Here is a 20,987-nt window from a genome sequence, read left to right on the forward strand (position 1 = left end):
GCCTGCCTCATGAAGCAAGAAGAGGGTCTCATTAAAAATTCGGAAAACACATAAATTATCCCACAAGGGTGTAAAACGTATAAGAAAAAATTCATCAACAAACCGGGGGAACTAATGTTATGCAGATTAATTTCAAAGTCCTTCAACATCAAAGAGGTCATAAAAACGTGTTTAAGAGGTAGAATCCATTATGCCATCTGGAATTCAGATTTCCGGTTGCAAACCAATTGGTATCATGAATTAATCTTCTCGGTAGAAGTAATCTGGTATGGTCAATAAATCACAAAATATGAGACAGTCGTTACATATGTAATATAGATAACAGACCCCCATCCATAATGTTCTGTTATGGTAAACCTAAGTTATCTGAAAAGGAATATATATGAAATATAAATTTGTAGACATTTTATCACTGCAATAAACAATGCATATTGCATTTGTTAAATACTATTGATATGTGTAGGTTAAGCCTATATTCTTAACATTTTTAAGGTTCTTTCCCCTTTTTGAATTGGGATTGAAGAGTGGTGAGACACTGCACTTCACTTGTTTGAAGAGCCAAGATGGCCTTATCCACACGTCTAAGAACAGGTGTTCTTTTCTGAGCGCTTACTCTATGCCAGGCAGTAGGCTTAGATGGCAGACTCAGGATTTGAACTGAGCAGTCTTACTCCATAGCTTATTCACTTAACTAGAATGATTTGATGCTTCCCAAACACACATCTAGAAAGTGTGATTTCAGAACTTTTCTCCCCCAAACCCCCTAAAACTCATCGGCTCTAGCTGGCAGTGACTGTGAAGTCTTATCCTTATCTGTGCCCTAAGAGACCTCTAGATGCCTGGGGTAAGAAAGGAAGCACAATGTTGGAGGATGGCTGTGCTGCCCCTCCCCTCTTCCCTCCTCATGGTTCTAGGGTGGGCACTGTGTCTGGAACTCCAGAGAGCAACCATTGCCACGCTCCCAGTGAGATTCAAACCGACTTCTTCTCATCTGGGCCAACTGAAGAGGGGACCTCATCCCCTTCCACATTTCCTGGCCAGCAAGGATAGAGGCATGTATTTCCAGAAGGGGCAGGATCTTCCAGTGACCCTCGCTGGGGGGTTCATCCAGCCATAGAGAGCCGGCACAACTTGTCTTTCCTGCCCTCACTTTCCCAAAGCAGCAATCTCCTCATGACTTCACTCAAGTGGCATTATCTTCTTTCTGAAAGAAATTTGGACATAAAGAAATAAAGCACCTCTCTGAGTTATTGAAGCTGGTTTGCCAACCTTGTTTATGCCACTGGTTATTTAGTGGCCAGGTTGAATATCACCCATACTCAAAGTTCAAGAGGATGGTTTCAAAAACTAGCTGACATAAACAGATGGGAAACTGAGCGTTAGATTGAAGTGGCTACATTGCTCTACACAGTGCTAAAAGAGCTTCCATGTTACTGCTTTGCAGAAGGCATCTTCATATCAAATACCAATTTATTCTCTTTAACCAGAGTAGGTGGCAGCCTAAGTGATTATTACTAATGCCTGAAGTTCCTTAACTGGAAAATGTCTTTCATCCATCAATTAGAGAAAGGTTTGAAAGGCAATTCCCCTCAGTCAGTGCTACTACCTTGATTTAGCTCTACACTAAGAATAAATTATTAGTAACTCATCATATACTACTGAGAAAGAAGGGGAGAGGAAAGAGAAATACAGTGCCTGCAGTGGGGAAAGAGAATACTCTATAGACAACTAATTTCTTGAGTAATTTCTTAAAATTACTCTATTATTGCTTTTGGGTTTTTTTGTTTTTTTGTTGTTGTTTTTTGTTTTTGTTTTTGTTTTTTGTTTATTTGAGCAGTCTTGCTCTGTCACCCAGACTGGAGTGCACTGGCGCAATCTCGGCTCACTGCAACCTCCACCTCCTGGGTTCAAGTGATTCTCCTGCCTCAGCCTCCTGAGTAGCTGGGATTACAGGTGTGCACCACCATACCCAGCTAAGTTTTGTCTTTTTAGTGGAGACAGGGTTTTACCATGTTGGTCAGGCTGGTCTTGAACTCCTGACCTCAAGTGATCTGCCCGCCTTTGGCCTCCCAAAGTGCTGGAATTACAGGCGTGAGCCACCGCACCCAGCCAAAATTACTTTATTATTGAATATAAGCTCAATAAACATTTTCTAAGTAAATTAAAACTGAATGGAAAATTGAAGATGGGGAGAGGAGAAGGGAAAATGGAAACTAACTCTGTTTACTTCTTGATTTTACAAAAGGCAGCTAAATGGTACTTTGACAACAAACTACGAATAGAAGGAAACTTTCTCAACCTGATAAAGACTATCTGTGAAAATCCCACAGCTAGCATCACATTTAATGGAAAAAAAAACTGAAAACTTTCCCTCTAAGACTAGAAATGAGACAAAGATCTTTGCTCTCACCGTTTCTATTCAACATTGTACTGGAGGTTCTAGCCAGAGCATCTAGGCAAGAAAAAGAAACAAAAGGCATCCAGATTGGAAAGCAAGAAGTAAAATGCTCTCTATTTGCAGAGGACATGATCTTATATATAGAAAATTTTAAAAGATCCTCTACAAAACTATTAGAACTAATAAGTTTAGCAATGTCTCAGGATACAAGATCAATATACAAAAATCAATTGTATTTTTATACAATAGCAAGGAATAATCCAAAAATAAATCAAGAAGACTATGTACAACAGCATAAAAAAAAAAAATACTCAAGAAGACATTCAACAAAAGAAGTGCAAAACTTAACCATACATCTAAATAATGAAAAAATATTCTATGTTCATAGATCAAAACTTTTCAGTTAAGATGACAGTACTCCCCAAATTGATCCACAGATTCAATGCAATTCCTGTCAAAATCCCAGCTGGATCTTTTGCAGAAATTGACAAAATAACCCTAAAATTCACATGGAAATGCAAGAGACCCAGAATAGCTAAACAATGATGAAAAAGAAAAACAAAGTTGGAGGACATACACTTCCTAATTTGAAAGCTTACAACAGAGCTACAGTAATAAAGACATTGTTGTACTGGGATAAGGATAGGCATATGGATCGATAGAATAGAACTGAACCAGAAATAAATCATTACATTTATGGTCAGTTTATTTTTGACCAAGATTAGAAGAGATAATTCAATATGGAAAGAATAGTCTATCCAACAGTTGCCTCTGGGACAACTGAATACTCACATGCGAGAAAGTGAAGTTGAATCCCTGTCTCACACCACACACACTAATTAATTAAAAATAAATCAGAACTAAATGTGAAAGCTGAAGCTCTAAAACTTCCAAAGGAAGCACAGAAATACATCTTTGTGACCTTGGATTAGGCAATGACTTCTTAGATACAAACCAAAAGCTCAAGCAATAAAAGATAAAATGGATAAATTGGACTACATCAAAATTTTAAACTTTTGTGACACTATCAAGAAAGTGAAAAGACAATGGACAGAATGGGAGAAAATATTTTCAAACCATATATTTGACAAGGAATTTCTATCCAGAATATATAAATAATTCTTAGAAACTGACAATAAAAAGACAAATAAAACAATTTAAATGGGCAAAGGATTTAAACAAATATTTCTTCCCCAAAAAATATACAAATGGCCAACAAACACATGAAGGGATTCTTAAAGTCATTAGTTATAAGAGAAATGCAAATCAAAACCACAATGAGATACCACTTCACATCCTGTAAGATGACTAGTATTAAAAAGACAATAACTAGGCCAGGCACGGTGGCTCACACATGTAATCCCAGCACTTTGGGAGGCCGAGGTGGATGGATCACTTGAGGTCAGGAGTTCAAGACCAGCCTGGCCAACAGGGTGAAACCCAGTCTCTACTAAAAATACAAAAATTAGCCAGGCATGGTGGCACATGCCTGTAATCCCAGCTACTGGGGAGGCTGAGGCAAGAGAATTGCTTGAACCCAAGAGGTGGAGGTTGCAGTGAGCCAAGATCATGCCATTGCACTCCAACCTGGGTAAAGAAGTGAGACTCTGTTAAAAAAAAAAAAAAAAAAAAAAAAAAAAAAGACAATAACTAGTGTTTGTGAATATATCGAAAAATTGGAACCCTCATTATTTGCTGCTGAACATGTAAAATGGTGCAGCTGTTTTGGAAAATAGTTTGGCAATCCCTAAAATTGCTAAACACAGAGTTACCATATGACTTAGCAATTCCATTCCTAGGAATCCAAAGGAACTGAAAACACGTTCACACAAAAACTTGCACACAAATGTTAACAGCAGGATTATTCATAATAACCCCCAAAAGTGGAAAAAACCTAAATGCTTATCTGCTGATGAATAGATTAAAAATGTGAGGGTTTTTTTTATATAGAGTATTATTTGGCAATAAAAAAAGAATGAAGTAGTGATACATGCTACAATATAAGTGAACCTTGAAAAACATTTTGCTAACTGAAACAAGCCTGTTACAAATGATCACAAATTATATGATTCCATTTATGTGAATCAACACATAGACAGAAAGTAGATAAGGGCTTGCCTGGGGCTGAGGGAGGGAGGAAGGAATGAACATGGGGAATCACTGTTAATACATAGGGGGTTTCTCTTCAGAAATGTTGATGTGATGAAATGTTCTAAAATTAGGTTATAGTAATGACCACATGGCTGGGAATACGATGAAACATGATACATTATAAATGGATGGGTTTTATGGTATATAAAATATATCTCAATGGATCTTTTTTTTGAAAACATACTTTAGCATAGGCTCTATTAGGAAAAAGAAATCCACCTGTCATACAACTTGATTTTCAATTTTTTTTCTGAGATAGGATCTGGTTCTGTCACCCCTGCTGGAGTACAGTGGTGCAATCTCAGCTCACTGCAGCCTCCACCTCCTGGGCTCAGGTGATCCTCCCACCTCAGCCTCCTGAATAGCTGAGTCTACAGGTGTGCATCACCACATCCATCTAATTTTTGTATTTTTTGTAGAGATGGGGTTTCACCATGTTGCTCAGGCTGGTCTCGAACTCCTGAGCTGAAGTGATCCACCCCTCTCAGCCTTCCAAAATGCTGGAATTACAGGTGTGAGTCACTGCACCTGGCCTTGGATTTTCAAATTTTGATTAAGTTATTGTGGTAGCCAATGTGAGTTGGCTACCCAACAACCATTCTCCTCTTGTCTCTGCAAGCCAAATCCCAATTTTGTCCAGGTAAGAGGCAACAGTGTGCCTCTCCCAAGTGCTGAGTATTGATTACCTTAACTCCAAACCCATCACGATATCCTCATCTACCTTTGACAGTGATTCATTCAGGAGTGGCAGGTGTTCCAGTCCTGGCCATTGACACAAAAGAGAAGTCTTCTGCTAAAACTCTTAGCAGGATAAAAAGTCCTAGATAAAAAAGGAAGATCCCAGGCCAGATGTGGTGGTGCGTACCTGTAACCCTAGTACTTTGGGAGGCTGAGGAGGGAGGACTGCTTGAGGCTAGGAGTTTGAGGCTACAGTGAGTTCTGATCACACCAGTGCATTCCAGGCTGGATAACAGAGACAGAAGAAAGAAAGAAAAGAAAGAGAGGAAGGAAGGAAGGAAGGAAGGAAGGAGGGAAGGAAGGAAGGGAGGGAGGGAGGGAGAGAGGGAAAGAAAGAAGGAAGGAAGGAAGGAAGGAAGGAAGGAAGGAGGGAAGGAGGGAGGGAAAGAAAGAAAGAAGGAAGGAAGGAAGGAAGGCAGGCAGGCAAGCTAGCTCTCTCTATTCCCTGATTTTAGACTTCATTTTGGGGGAAGTAATGCTTGGGGGTACATGAGTCATGTGATAATCTTGAGGACAGGGAAGCTGCCTCGAGCTGCATCCCTGAAACCACCTGTTACCAAACCTCTTAGAAAACAAGATTTTTAAATAAACCTCACTGTTTAAGCCACATTCTGTCAAAGAGGCTGTTTACTGCAGCTGAAAGCCTGCTCATTAATATATTTTCTCTTAAATGGGCTTATTTGTGAATACTCACAAAATTACATGCTCAGTCCTATATCAAGATTTGTCTTTAGAAGATAAAATTGATCTAGACTTTTTCAGAAGACAGACCTAGCACTGAGTCACTTAAAGGTGCAAGAAGAAAGCACTGTGCTCAGTAGGAGAAAGAGGAGAAACAGCCTTCTATATGTAAAGTGGACCAGAGATTGATCAGCCTTTGTTAGGAAGGCTGATGGGGATCCCCTGTCTAGGAGGCAGGACAAACCTTTGACGGGGCCTGCACTACAGAGTTTGAAATCCTATGTTGTTTTTCTTTTCTTTTTCTTTTTTTTTTTTTTTTTGAAACAGAGTCTCCCTCTGTCACCCAGGCAGGAGTGCAGTGGCATGATCTTGGCTCATGACAACCTCTGCCTCCCAAGTTCAAGTGATTCTCCTGCCTCAGTTTCCCAGGTAGCTGGGCCTACAAGCGTGCACCACCACACCCGGCTAATTTTTAATTTTTAATGGAGACAGGGTTTCACCATGTCGGTCAGGCTGGTCTCGAACTCCTGACCTCAAGTGATCTGCCCATCTCGGCCTCCCAAAGTGCTAGGATTACAGGTGTGAGTCACCACGACCGGCCTTGTCTAATTCTTCACGAACAATATCCTGGCATCCACCGTTTAAGAGAATTTGGTACGTTATTTGCAAAGTGAATAAGAAAGAAATCATACTAGAAAAGCAAACATAGTAATTCTGAAAGAAAACTACCATTTTACTTCTTTAAATTGTTTATCTTAATAGTTCAAGAAATGTGTGAAAATACCTACAATTGTTAATGCTATAATGAAACTTCTTTATAAACCTGTAGGTGTCAGATTTACACTTGTCTCGTAATTGTTATGTAATTCTTTACAAATATAATTGTTTTAAGTGCCAAGATTTGACCTAAATAAATGCAAAATTTTGATATGGAATAATAAGGCAACTTCAACTTGTTTTTAGTGATAGAATTAATGCCACAGAGGAAGGTTTAACTGTTGCTGTTGTTGTTATTTTATGTTCAAATTTTATAAAGACAGTCGGGCAGTCCACTTCCAGAATAACAATGTGAACATCATGAATGCACTCACCAGTGCAACCATCAAAATGCATGAAAATTATTTTTTATAAAACAGGCTAGAACAGTCGCGGTGGCTCACGCCTATAATCCCAGCACTTTGGGAGGCCGAGGCGGGTGGATCACGAGGTCAGGAGATCGAGACCATGCTGGCTAACAGGGTGAAACCCTGTCTCTACCTAAAATACAAAAATTAGCTGGGTGTGGTTGTGCACGCCTGTGGTCCCAGCTACTCGGGAGGCTGAGGCAGGAGAATCACTTGAACCCAGGAGGCGGAGGTTGCAGATCGTACCACTGCACTCTAGCCTGGCAACAAAGCGAGACTCCGTCTCAAAAAAAATTAATAATAATAAAACAGGCTGGGCATGGTGGCTCATGTCTGTAATACCAGCACTCTGGGAGGCCAAGCCAGGAGTATCACTTGGGGTCAGGAGTTTGTGACCAGCCTGGGCAACATAACAAGAACCCAACTCTACAAAAAAACAAAAACAAAAAGGCAGGTGCGGTGGCATATGTCTGTAGTCCCAGCTGAAGTGGGAGGATCACTTGAGCCCAGGAGTTTGAGGCTGAGCTGCCATGAGCCATGATTATGCCACTGCACTCCAGCCTGGGCAATAGAGTGAGACTCTATTTCTTTCTTTCTTTTTTTTTTTTTTTTTGAGACAGAGTCTCGCTTTGTTGCCCAGGCTGGAGTGCAGTGGTGCGATCTCAGCTCACTACAACCTCGGCCTCCTGGGTTCAAGCAATTCTCCTGCCTCAGCCTCCTGAGTATCTGGGATTATAGGTGTGCACCACCACACCCAGCTAATTTTTGTATTTTTAGTAGAGACAGGGTTTCGCCATGTTGGCCAGGTTGGTCTTGAACTCCTGACCTCAGGTGATCCTCCTGCCTCGGCCTCCCGAAGTGCGGGGATTACAGGCCTGAGCCACCACGCCTGGCCTGCCAGACCCTATTTCTAAAGAAATTTGTCTTATATAAAACAAAACTAAAACCCAGTCATTTAAAGTCTTAGGAAATTGTCCAAAGGAAATGAAGAACCAAGTATTCAATGTCCTAAATCTGGGTAAGAACAGCAAGAATCAGTGGCACTGAAGTCACTCTCCACTCCCTCTGTCCTGCTCAGCATGATGGAAGCTGTATTCCAGGTGGGTGTGGCCAAGAAGATGGGGCTCACTCCCAGCTCTCAATCAGTTGCTACAACGTCTCGCTGGGAGGCTTAAGCCAACAGCATTTCTCATTCTGCCTCCAGGTCTTGTTACAGAGCCTGAATTCCAAGCATGGCTGAGAGTTCCTGAGCTCCTTTTCTCCACCAGGCCACACTTCATAGGCAGGGCAGAGGCTCTACCTTAATTGCAGCAGGCTGAGAACATAAGAGTCCCACTCTCCTTCACCCCAATTTGCTCATGGGTCAGAGGTCCACACCAAAAAGGCAAACTAAGAAGACCAGAGGCTCACACCCCCAACCAGGCCCAGCAGCCCATCCCTAAAGCAGAGGGTCACTCAGAAGCACACCATTGCCCCTGCCGTCAGCTCTGGAGTCATTGTTCAGAGATTTTGCCAAAGAGGAGAGACAGGCTATAAAACAGAGCTCTGAAGCTTTCCCCAAATAGACTGACTTTTTAAAAACTAGCCGGTGGGGAAGTTGAAGCCTAAGGATACTCTCAAAAACAACGGAGGTCTTGGTGGTAAGCAATTAAGAGGAGGCTGGTAGCTTCATGAGAAAGAAAAGCTACACCAGAACCAGCTAGTTTCCCAGAGAAAATCTGGAAAAGAGACAGTTAATAACAGCACTCCTGGGGGAAGAACAAACTCCAAAGACTGGCCTCAAAAACCATCCCTGAAAAGAGATCCACATTTAATTGGATCCAACTGTGGAGCAATTTATGCCCCAAAGCATTGTGAAAACAGAGAGCAATCAGCCAGCTATTAGTGGAATCTAACAAATGGATGTGATACCAACAGAGAAGACAACTGAGAAATCGGGAGAAATAACAGTCAAAGAGATCCCTGATAAAACTACTGTCCAGCCCAGGATGACTACATATATGACCAAGGCTCTGCTCTCTGCCATCAAAAACTTCTCACTGCAGAGAAAGTAGACTTTACTAAAAAAGGTTCAGCCAAGACATTAAACAAATAAACAAGCAAACAGCAACTATAAGCCTTGAAGTTGGAAGAAGTCAATATCCAGAATTGCTACAAGACATTGTAAGATACAATGAATTTCTCTGAGTTTCTCTTCAAAAATTTAGCTTGCTAACTTTCTTGTCTTTTGTTCTCAAACTCAACTTTCCTGTTCCTCCTTGCCCCTAGTTACTGTAAACAGCCTACCCACTGCCCATCAGCTCTAATCAATAACTCACACCCGTTTCCTTCGTTACCTGTACCCCTTATTCCCCCAAAACTGCACATCTCACACACTCCACCTCTGTACCTCACATCCCCCTCCCATTCTATAATTAGAAAAATATGTACCAGTAGCCAATCGGGTCAGTTCAGATTGTGTGGTCCGACCCCAGCCCATGGGGGAGGGACACAGAAGTAGGGATTGCGTTAAGGATATAAAAACCCCCCAGTCTCCTTTGCTCCCTGTGCTCTTATGATCTTGAGTGACACAAGTGGCACCCTTCTGCAGAAGCATATTGCCTTGCTGAGAGAATTAAACTTTTGCCTGAGTATCGGTTTTACTTCACAGCACCAAGCATTTATTCCTGCAGCATTTTATATCCAACATTAACTAAAAATTTCTAGTTTTCCAAAAGAAATTATGCTATATGTGAAGAAACAGGAAAGTGGGACCCATACACAGGTGGAAAGGGCAGGCAACAGAAACTGCCTATCAAAAGATTAGATGTCACACATAACAGACAAAGACCTCAAAACTGTCATTACAAATATGCTCAAAGAGCAAAAGGAAGGCCAGGCACGGTGGCTCACACCTGTAATCCCAGCACTTTGGGAGGCCAAGGTGGGTGGGTCCTGAGGTCAGGAGATGGAGATCATCCTGGCTAACATGGTGAAACCCCGTCTCTACTAAAAACACGGAAAATTAGCTGGGCGTGGTGGCAGACACCTGTAGTCCCAGCTACTCGGGAGGCTGAGGCAGGAGAATGGCATGAATCTGGGAGGCGGAGCTTGCAGTGAGCCAAGATCACGCCACTGCACTCCAGCCTGGGCGACAGAGCGAGACTCCATCTCAAAACAAACAAACAAACAAATTATATCTACAGTTATATATATAATTGTATTGTTGGGCCTATAACATATAGAAATATAATATATTTAACAATAACAACACAAAGGATGTAGGTGGAAGTAAAGATAGATTGGTGTAAAGAAATGACAGTATCTTGAACCCACAGAAACAAATGAAAAGAACCAGAACTGGTAAATAAGAAGGTAAATATAACAAACTTTATAAATATATGCTTGTTCTTTCTTCTCTCAGTTTCTTTGAAAGACTAATAATTATATAAAGTAACAATTGTAGCACTGTATTGTTGGGTTTTTATATCGAGTTGTTGGATATTGTTATATATAACAATAATGACCCCAAAACAAGGAAGAGGTAATAGAGCTATATAAGCTCTATAGGAGTATCATTTTTTTTTTTGAGATGGAATCTGGCTCTATTGCCCAGGCTGGAGAGAAGTGGCATGATCCCGGCTTGCTGCGAACTTCACCTCCCAGGTTCAAGCAATTCTCCTGCCTCAGCCTCCCAAGTAACTGGGATTACAGTGCACACCACTGCGCCCAGCTAATTTTTGTATTTTTTGTAGAGATAGGGTTTCACCAAGTTGGCCAGGTTGGTCTCAAACATCTGACCTCAGGTGATCCGCCCACCTTGGCCTCCCTAAGTGCTGAGATTACAGGCGTGATTCACAGCGCTTGGCTAGGAGTAATATTTTTATATGTAACTGGAATTAAGTTAGCATAAATCTGAAGTTGAGTCTGATAAGATATATATGGTAATGTCTAAAGAAACCAATTTAAAAACTCAAAAAATAGTGAAAAAGTTATTAAAGGAATTAAAATATACACTTAATGCAAAAAGAAAAAAAAAGACACTTGTCCACCTTCGCTAATACCAGTAGACACTGGACAACCCAGACACTAAAAAATTGAATAGGAATTAATGAGAAGATGCTTCTGCAAATTTTGGTCCAAGATCTCAATAAACTCAAGGGTATTTTTTACATTACTAAGGAAAGTACACTTTTTTAAGGGTTTACCCTTAGGAAGAGAACCTACTGCTTATGCACTTCTTTCTTATCCCCAAGCAGATAATATAATTATGTAAATTTCTTACAATGACACCATTGACTGATGAGCAATGGAAGGAGAATTCTTGAATAAAAGTAAATAAAAATTTGAGATGGTATGGAGTCTATGGGAGCTCATTCACACAGGATTCAGAACTTCTCCCTCTTGGTTCACGTTGCATGTCTGGAAACAAGCTGCCCTTTTCAGGGAAGAGAAATTAACTCCATACACTTTTGATCAGTTCAAAGGCAGATTGGGCCGGGCGCAGTGGCTCACGCCTGTAATCCCAACACTTTGGGAGGCTGAGGTGGGTGGAACACCTGAGGTCGGGAGTTCAAGACCAGCCTGATCAACATGGAGAAACCCTGTCTCTACTAAAAATACAAAATTAGCTGGGTGTGGTGGTGCTTGCCTGTAGTCCCAGCTACTTGGGAGGCTGAGGCAGGAGAATCACTTGAACCCAGGAGGCTGAGGTTGCAGTGAGCCAAGACTGTGCCTAGCCGAGATTGCACCATTGCACTCAGGCCTAGGCAACAAGAGCGAAACACCATCTCAAAAAAAAAAAAAAAAAAAGAAAAAAAAAGGCAGATTGTGCCCTGAAACTCTTATTGTTTTAGAGAAAAGGAGGCAAGAGATTCCCTTTTAGAATGTTGAATGGCCTTGATGGGCACCCTAACCTCAGCAGAGCTTTGACAGTTGGATGGAAATTACCACATTTCTTCCAGATTAGACACAACCAAAATCCCTTCTCAGAGTCATTGGTAAGGAATTTGCTTAATAACTGAACCTGTGGTCTCTGGGCTGCCTGCCAACGGCAGGACAAAATAAAGACAAGGATGCAGACACAGGCAGGCATAAGAGAAGATACTGTGTCCCTGACTTTATTGTTCTGCCTTTTTTTTCTTCATCTCTTCCTATTCTCCTTTCTTGTCTATTTATAGCAAACAAAATTATCCCTTAAATCTGAGTGCAACACACATGAATGCATGGCTTAAGCAGATATTATGCAAATGATTATAGAATAATAAAATCAGATGTCCAAAGCAAAGTATTTCCATTACCATCAACCCATGGCAAGGTTCCCTATTCTATTCTTAAGCAGCTTCAAATCTACTTGTGATCTTTTATCACAATTTCATTTTCATAACAACTTTCCTAGTTTATAGAATGTTTACCATCTATATGTTTCCTATACAGAAGAAAACAAAGTCTCCCACTGTATCTATTTCTATAGCAAGATTTTGTAGGAAATGTTGCCTATCAAGGAATATCCTTTCAATTTTCACCCACATGGAAAATCAAACTGCTCTTCAGACCTACTAAAACTCGCTTTACAATTTCCAGTCTATTTCAAGCTTCATTTGAAAAAGTGACTTTTTTTAGAGACCAGAAAAAACCTAATTCTGCTTTTCTTTTTCTTCTTTTTTTTGGGGGGAGGGTACAGAGTCTCACTCTGTTGCCCCAGCTGGAGTGCAATGGCCCAATCTAAGCTCACTGCAGCCTCTGCCTCCCAGGTTCAAGAGATTCTCCTGCCTCAACCACCCAAATAGCTGGGACTACAGGGACGCACCGCCATGCCTGGCTAATTTTTGTATTTTTAGTAGAGACGGGGTTTCACCATGTGGGTCAGGCTGGTCTTGAGCTCCTGACCTCAGGTGATCCACCTGCCTCAGTCTCTTAAAGTGCTGGGATTACAGGTGTGAGCCTCTGCACCCAGCCAAAACCAAAGAAAACCTGACTCTGATTTTCTAATAAAAGTACCATGAATAATAAAATCTGGGCATATTCAGGAAGCATTTGAAAGTTTTGACTGGAGAAACTATTGATCAATCTTCACATATCTTCACATTACCACTCAATTGTCTCTAGTTCTCTAGTTTCATCAGTTTTTTTTATTTCCACTGAAATTCCCACTGTTTCTTATTTTTCTGTGGAAGATTAAATCTACAAATGGAGATAAACATTGTTATTTATCTAGTTGGTGCTTATTGTACTTTCTGTATCTGGGGAACCATGTATCTCACCAATTCTAGTAAATTCTCCAATTGTCATTTATTTCTTTATATGTTTCATATATTTCCTTCTCTCCATTCACTCCTTCAGGAAATATGTGAAACCGACTCAGTTTATCCACCATATCTCTTTTTGTTTTGCTGTGCATAAAAACACAATTCTTTATTTGAGTGAGTATATTTACTAAACTATTTTAACATAGTTCATGAATTAACATAGTTTAGAAATGATCGATTGCAAATTAAGGACCTTGCTGACCATACTTACTTCTTATGCTTTATCATTTCCTAATTTTTAAGTAAACTTTACTGTGCTACAATGTACACAACAAAATTCACAAATTTTAAGAGGAAGTGGATAAATTCCGTCAAATATCCATGTAACCAATGCCCCATTTAAAACATAGAATATCTCCTTAGATAGTTTCCTGTGCACATTTTCAGTCAATCAACACCCCACCACCACACCCTAGTCAACCCCGATCTGATTTCTAAGAACTTCATCCTATAAACAGAAACATACAGGCTTTCCTCTTTCGCCTCCAGTTTCTCTTACTCACGATAACGTGGGGGAACATTCATCCACGTTGTTGCACGAGTCAGTAGTTTGTTCCTTTTTATGGCCATAAATTGGTATTCCATTGTATGAATACACCACAATTTGTTTATCCACATGCATTCTACGTATTATTCCATACATATAAGCAATCTAAATTGTTACATTATAAAATTGCATATGTTCAATATAAGATGATATACAAAAAACCTTGGTAGCTTCTAAGTGGCTTCTCTTGCTCAAGTCTTCAATACATCCTTACTGCCAAGATCAACCTTCCCTTCACCTGAAAATCTTCTATTACGTTTTGCTCTCATCCCCTGCAGGAAGCAATCCCTCTTGCTTCCCAGTTTTTACTTCACACGATACACCACTTTCTATTTTGTGTTATGGTTACTTATATACATATCTAATATCAACTGCTAGACGCTAAGCTGCTTGAAGTCAGGATCCAAGTGAATTTTAGCTTTGCTGATCCACAGCACTTAGCAAACGGCTGGCTTGTGGGAAGGGCTCAATGCACGGCAGCTGAGTACGTAAAAAACAGGTGAATTCCCGTATTCCAAAGTAGCTTCAGTGGCTCCCTGCTTTGTAGTTTGTCATGCAAACTCTTCCACGAGGAGCTCCAACCTAGTTTTCCAACTGCAGTCTCGTGATTTTTCCTACGTAACACTTCTCCTTCAGTTAAATTCTTCTTTGCTAACTTCCATCCTTTTATCTGTTATATTATTCCAGTCTGGTAGAAAACACACACGCACACGCGCACACACCCCTATCTTTATTTTCCCCAACTCCTGAACGAGAGTTACAGTTTCAAGATTTCTTTTACCAGGGCTCCCCACCGCCGCCCCCACCACCATCCGCCACCTTGGTCAGCAGGGACCATAAAATAAGCAGTTGCAGATCGTGCCCAGTAGGGGGAGGAGTGCCCATAAGTCTTCCACTAAATCCGAGGCCTTTCTGAAGCCCAGGAGATTTTAAAGAAGCCACGTGTTTACGAAAACGTCTTCTAGGTTAAAGAAATAAACAAGAGTTCAGCTAACTCCTTCCTCTGATTACAAACTGAGTAATCTCTGCTCACCAAAGCACGGTAATTTAAGCCCAAATAACAAAGACAAAACCATATGACCATTTTTAATCTCTAAGGACCTCACTCTATTTGCATCCTCATTTTTTTTTAATCCATAAAAATCTATTCACAGATTGAATGTTAAATCTGTGTTGTTGAATCAGGAACTAGTAATGGAAAGCTGGACGTCTTGCCCTCCAGATGCAGAGATTAGTTCAAAAGAAAAACATCTGTACTGCCTACTTCTCTTCCATCTCCACCCACTTCTCAGCACCATTTAGGTTTTAAAAATGTTTTGTAATGGTCTACCAAATGGCAATCATTTTTTATGTACTAAGTTTAAGATACCATGGGATTTGATTTGACTCAATGTTAATCATTGAGTCATGCTGATCACAAACCAAAAGTGAACAGTCATCATGAAACAAACTGTGTCACACCACAGGGAACAAAATGGTAGCCCCGCCCGTTCTCACACAGGGGCAGATAGATTTCACAGAGAATTAGTAAAGCTCAGGGCTTCGTAAGCTTAAAAATTAATGACGCTGGAAGAGATCATTCAATTTCATAAATGAGAAAACTAAAATCTTGAGAGATCAAAGTGGCTTTCTCAAGAGACCACAGCCAGTTAGTGATGAAGCAGAGACTAGAGTCCAGTGTTTGGATCTGTTACGTCTTGGATGATCTTCATCTACAAACACTATTCATTGCACTTCCTTGGCAGTGTCAGCAAGAGATGATATCTTAAAAGGATCGTTTTTGTGCCCAGTTCCTTTAGAGATGTACTAAGAAGGCAATGCAAACACCAGGTCAACTTGAAGAAAGCCTCTCTAAGCAGCCATCCAGACTTGAAGCTTCGTACAGCCGCCACATTGACACCTTTTAAACAAGTCCTTGTAAGAAGAATCTTCAAGGAAGAAAGCAAAATCCATCCACGGTGAATATTGCATGTGTTAGCACACATCCTATACATCTCTCCCGCAATTATTTATTGGGTGGAGTATGCAACAAGAGTGTGTTATTATATTAGTCAGTTACTTGTCCCTTGAATCTAAAGATAACACCTACAGCTCCCATTGCATTAGAGATAGGACGGAAATGCTAAAAGCCGTGTTAGAATGACAGTGCTTAATAACAATGACACTTGAGGTTTGTAACGCTTTTCATGGTAGATCTCAAAGCACTTGGCAAGTGGTCATGACATTTCGACACAGTATTATTCTGAAGAAGCATCACTGTGATTTCCTTTTGATAAGTCAGAGAAAGAAAGATAATTCCCTGTTAAAATCTATCTAGCGACTGGGATTTTTAGCCCTAACATTTTTATTTTTAATTATGCTTAATTTTGTACATTAGCTAAAAACTTGTTGGGAATACATTTAATTCTAATTAAATAAATAAAGTGATCCGACTTAGGATCTAAACTCAAAAGTCCTGTGCTCATTCCGAGGCAGCAGTAACTTTTCTGGCTTCCTGACATAAAATTCATACAAACAACCCTCGTAGAACATCATCTGATATTCCAGGAGTGGAATGTGTGAGGCAACCTAACAGGGAATAGAGCAACTTCAAAAGAAAAAATACAGAAGCTAAGATTCTCTTCCCGGAACTATCACTATTAAAAATTAATCCAGGAATTCAGGTTTGGGATGAGGTAGGAGGATGGGTGGGAGGGAATTAGAGAGGAAGGAGAAGCAGACAAAGACTCTTTAAATATTTATGATTCTTATTTGAAATCAGAGAAAGATTCCCTACTTGCAAGACTTGAAGTGTCATTATAATTAAGTACTTCAGATATTTTATATTATATTTGATGGGTTTTGACTTCAAAGGAACTTAGGGGCAAAGTCTCAGCCAACACAGAGCATTCACTGCAGCACCCCCGAAGCAGTCAAAGTCATCACAGAGGCTTCAGCCTAGCCTGTCTCAAAAAAGCACGATATCCTAGGAATGCAACAATTTCTCAACTCCAAAGTGGTCAATGAGATGTAAGTGGAACTTGTTGGATAGGGCCTCTGGAAAAGTTCCTAAAAGAGGGCTGACTCAGCTATGAGGTGAGCTCTTTTATGGTTCCACCCACGTCTTCTTCTTCCTGCCTGAAATGTGGACATGATGGCTGGCGTTCCAGCAGCCATTTTGTATCTTGAGATAGACCTTGAGAAAAAAAGCCACACTCTGAGGGGGGTAGAAGAAAGACAAAAAGAACCTACACACCTGATGACCAAGTTGATGTCATGCCCACCCAGAATTGCCTAATTTGGGATTTCTTTTACCTAATAGGAGGTCTCTTACTTGAGTTTTTCATTATTTATTCACTGATACAGCCAACTCAATAGGTTTTAGGACTCTACTTTCTCTAAAACTGTCTTTGATTCTTGAGCAAGCATAGTCAGTACTGTTTTCCTTGACTTTCTAAGACAGGTTCACCAAGTCCTGCACGTTATGTAACTCTGGAAGACCCTTCTTATATCGTGGGCCATGAGACACTCTCACTTAGAAGACAGTGTGAATAGGGTCCTCCGGATCCTCTGGTCCCAGCTCACCCACTTTCACAGAATTTCTGCTTACCTTCAACCTTCTTGGAGTTACATCCTCAGGGATACAAGTAAAAATGTTATTTTAGATTCAAATATTGGTTAAACAATCTTTAATACAATCTATGGTATTACAATTTTATTAAGGGCTAATTTAAACTAGATTTCTCAAACTTCCAACCCATGGATCACTTTGGCAGATAAATGAATGTCATGAACCATCTGTAATGCTTCTTTCCACAGCACAAAAAAAAAGAAGGGAAGAAAGAAAGAAGCTATAAAGAAAAGAAGGGAAAAGTTACCACAAAAGAATAGAATAGAATAGAATATGTGCTATTGATCATAAAACAAGAATTAATATAGGAAAATTATTTCTCATTGAAATAAAAGAATAACATTGGTAATAATGATAAACAACATTTTTAACATTGGTAATGATACATAACATTTGTTGTGACACAGATTTCTCTAGGCGGTCATTGTTCCAAGTCCTTTTTTCAAGTCCTCTACATGTAGTAACTCAGTAGTGGTCTGTGGCCTGTTACGAACCAGGCTGCACAGCAGGAGGTGAGCAGTGGTGAGTGAGCATTACTGCCTGAGCTCTGCCTCCTGTCAGATCAGCGGTGGCATTAGATTCTCATAGGAGCATGAACCCTATTGTGAACTGTGCAAGTAAGGAAGCTAGGTTGTGTGCTCCTTATGAGAATCTAATGCCTGACGATCTAAGGTGAAACAGTTTCATCCCAAAAACCATCTCCCCCACCCCACCTGGCACCTCGGAAAAATTATCTTCCACGAAACTGGTCCCTGGTGCCCAAAAGGTTGGGGACCACTGTATTAACTCATTCAATCCTCATAACAAGCCTCTGAAGTAGGTTGTTGTTATTATTATTATGCTTATTGGACAGATGAAGAAACAGAGGTACAGAAAGCTTAAGTGACTTGCCAAAGTCTCACGTTGGTTAGCAGTGGAATCAGGATGTAAATTCAGGTCTATCTGACCCCCTCCTCACCCCCAAACATATACCATTAACTACCACACCATACTGCCCCAATAGTTCATAACAAGCAGCATCATACTATAAACACTATGATTAGAAGATCTAGACTACAGACTCCAGAAGGGAAGGACGATTTGTATTTTGTTCACTGCTCTACGCTGAGTGCCTAAAACACTATTTGGCATGTAATAGGCACTCAAGTAATTATTCAATGAATGAAGAAACGAATGAGTGAATGGATATAGAAAACTTTACGGTACTCCCAGGCACAAGGGATCTATGTTGTAAGAATTGTTTTTGGGGTTGCAATGAGCAGCAGACCATCCAAGGAGAAATACATTCATAATAAAGCTTTGTAGGATGTGCGATCTTCAGATACTAACATCATTAACATTCAACCATCTGCCAGAAATCATTATGATACCTTCCAACAAAGGCTTATAAAGTGTTTTCATTCGCACTATCTCATTTAATCCTCATAACCACCCTATGAGGATTTATTTTCACTTTGCTATTGAGAAAACAGTCTTTAGCGACTGCCAGAATCCAGGCTTACATCCTCTCACCCACTCCCGCACTGTGGGTGTTCACACTAGAGTGTCTTGCCAGTCATGGGGTTAGATGCCCCTGACCACTCACACTTCACTGCCCCATCCCCTTCATGGCCGTGGGCCTGCATTCACAGCTATCCCTGGCCTACAACCCAACTTCTGATCTTGGTATTCCAGGTATCTACTGTGGAGTGCAAACTTAACAGCTTAAACAACAACTTGTTGTTATTATCTCCCATGGTTCTGGAGGTTGGCTGGGCTCAGCTAAGTGGTTCTTGCACAAAGCCTCCCATGTGGTTGCAGCCTGATATCAGGTCAGCTAAGACTGAAGTCATCTGAAGGCTCAACTGAGCTGGATGTCCTATAAGGCCCATTCACATGGCCTGCAGGCTCATGAAGGGCTGTTAACCTACGTGAGCCTCTCCCTGTGGCTTAAGCTTCTCACACAGGGTGGTTCACTCCAGTGGAACATCCCAGGAGCGGATGTTTCAAAGTTCAGGAAGCAGAAGCTGCCAGGCCAGTGAAGGCGTGGCTCAGAACTGTTACAATGATATTTCCACTGCATCCTATTTATCAAAGCAACCATTGGCCCACCCAGATTCCAGGGTGTGGAGAAATAAATTCCCCCTCCTGATGGGTGAGTGGGAAGGTCATCTTCCTGAAAAGGATGTGGGATGGGAGATGTTGTTGCAGCCATCTTTGGAAAATATGACCTGCCACACTCAGCTTCGTAATTAAACTGCAACTTATAAGCTACCCGGTTGCGGATAAATTTCCATTTCCACACTGTTATTCTGTGTTTAATTGGGCACAGAACAATGTTCAGTTTATGTTTTTAACTGTTGGCATGGTTACATTTGGGGCCCGAACTGTTATTAACTCATATCCTTTAATACCTTCCAAGGCTATTCTAATTCAAACAGGTATTTTAGCTCATTGATAAGAGAGTTCATGGGGTCCAGGGCATGGGTGAAGCTGCCACTGTTTTATTTACATTCGCGACAGTTACTTGTACTTCCAGCCAGTTCCAGCCTCTCAAAGAGGACCAGGCAAAAATATAAAAACAGATCAGTTCAAATTCATCACGATAATGAAAACATTTTTTTAAGTCCACAGCTACCTCTCTTTAGCACTCACGTGCCAATCATGTTAGACTTCTCACCCTAGCCTTATTCTCTTTTCTGTTTTTGTTTTGTTTTGTTTTGTTTTGTTTTGTTTTGTTTTGTTTTGTTTGAGACAGAGTCTCGCTCTGTCACCAGGCTGGAGTGCAATGGTGTGAGCTCGGCTCACTGCAATCTCTGCCTCCAGCGTTCAAGCAATTCTCCCGCCTCAGGCTCCCGAGTAGCTGGGGCTACAGGCATGCGCCACCATGCCCAGCTAATTTTTGTATTTTTAGTAGAGACAGGGTTTCACGTTGGCCAGGATGGTCTCAATCTCTTGACCTTGTGATCTGCCCACTTCAGTCTCCCAAAGTGCTGGGATTACAGGCGTGAGCCACCACACCAACCTATTCAGTTTTCTTGATGTCCACATCCTCCCATCCTAACTGGATTTCACTCCCACATCCTCTTCCATTGAAATATTACTTATTTCATGGCAAACTCAAATTCCTCTGGATCGCCTTTCCTAATGAATGTCCCTGCTAAATGAGTGTGACTTCACTCTTCTTTGAGCCCCTGTAACTCTTGCCTGCCGCCTGTCCCAAATTTCACCTTTTCTACTTGGAGTCACAGTCCTATTTGGGCTTATCTCTCTTACTTCCCTCCCTGTGCCTTCGCATCCACTGCCTGCATAACTCAGCCCAACACCTCCACACAACGAGTGTTCCATGAATACGCATGAAAGTGGATTGAACCTCCAGGAATACCATTCTCATCCTACTGTCATTTCCTCTGATAGCCTGGGCTGATAAAGATCTCACTCACCCTCAGGGAACTGTCTTCATTCACATTCA

The 20,987-nt window shown here is 40.9% G+C and overlaps 3 annotated features.

Moving 5' to 3' along the window:
- Positions 12,887 to 12,956: a silencer, noted in NCBI's record as "silent region_15933". NCBI's record gives its function as "represses an Ori minimal core promoter by ATAC-STARR-seq in GM12878 lymphoblastoid cells {active_cell/tissue: GM12878}" and the evidence as "EXISTENCE:reporter gene assay evidence [ECO:0000049][PMID:35858748]".
- Positions 14,870 to 16,069: an enhancer, noted in NCBI's record as "CDK7 strongly-dependent group 2 enhancer chr5:14108867-14110066 (GRCh37/hg19 assembly coordinates)". NCBI's record gives its function as "activates an origin of replication core promoter dependent on BRD2, BRD4, P300/CBP, MED14 and CDK7 cofactors, with strong dependence on CDK7, by STARR-seq in HCT116 cells {active_cell/tissue: HCT116}" and the evidence as "EXISTENCE:reporter gene assay evidence [ECO:0000049][PMID:35650434]".
- Positions 15,583 to 15,642: an enhancer, noted in NCBI's record as "active region_22386". NCBI's record gives its function as "activates an Ori minimal core promoter by ATAC-STARR-seq in GM12878 lymphoblastoid cells {active_cell/tissue: GM12878}" and the evidence as "EXISTENCE:reporter gene assay evidence [ECO:0000049][PMID:35858748]".

This window comes from Homo sapiens, chromosome 5, assembly GCF_000001405.40.
Source record: "Homo sapiens chromosome 5, GRCh38.p14 Primary Assembly".
NCBI classification, from domain to species: domain Eukaryota; kingdom Metazoa; phylum Chordata; class Mammalia; order Primates; family Hominidae; genus Homo; species Homo sapiens.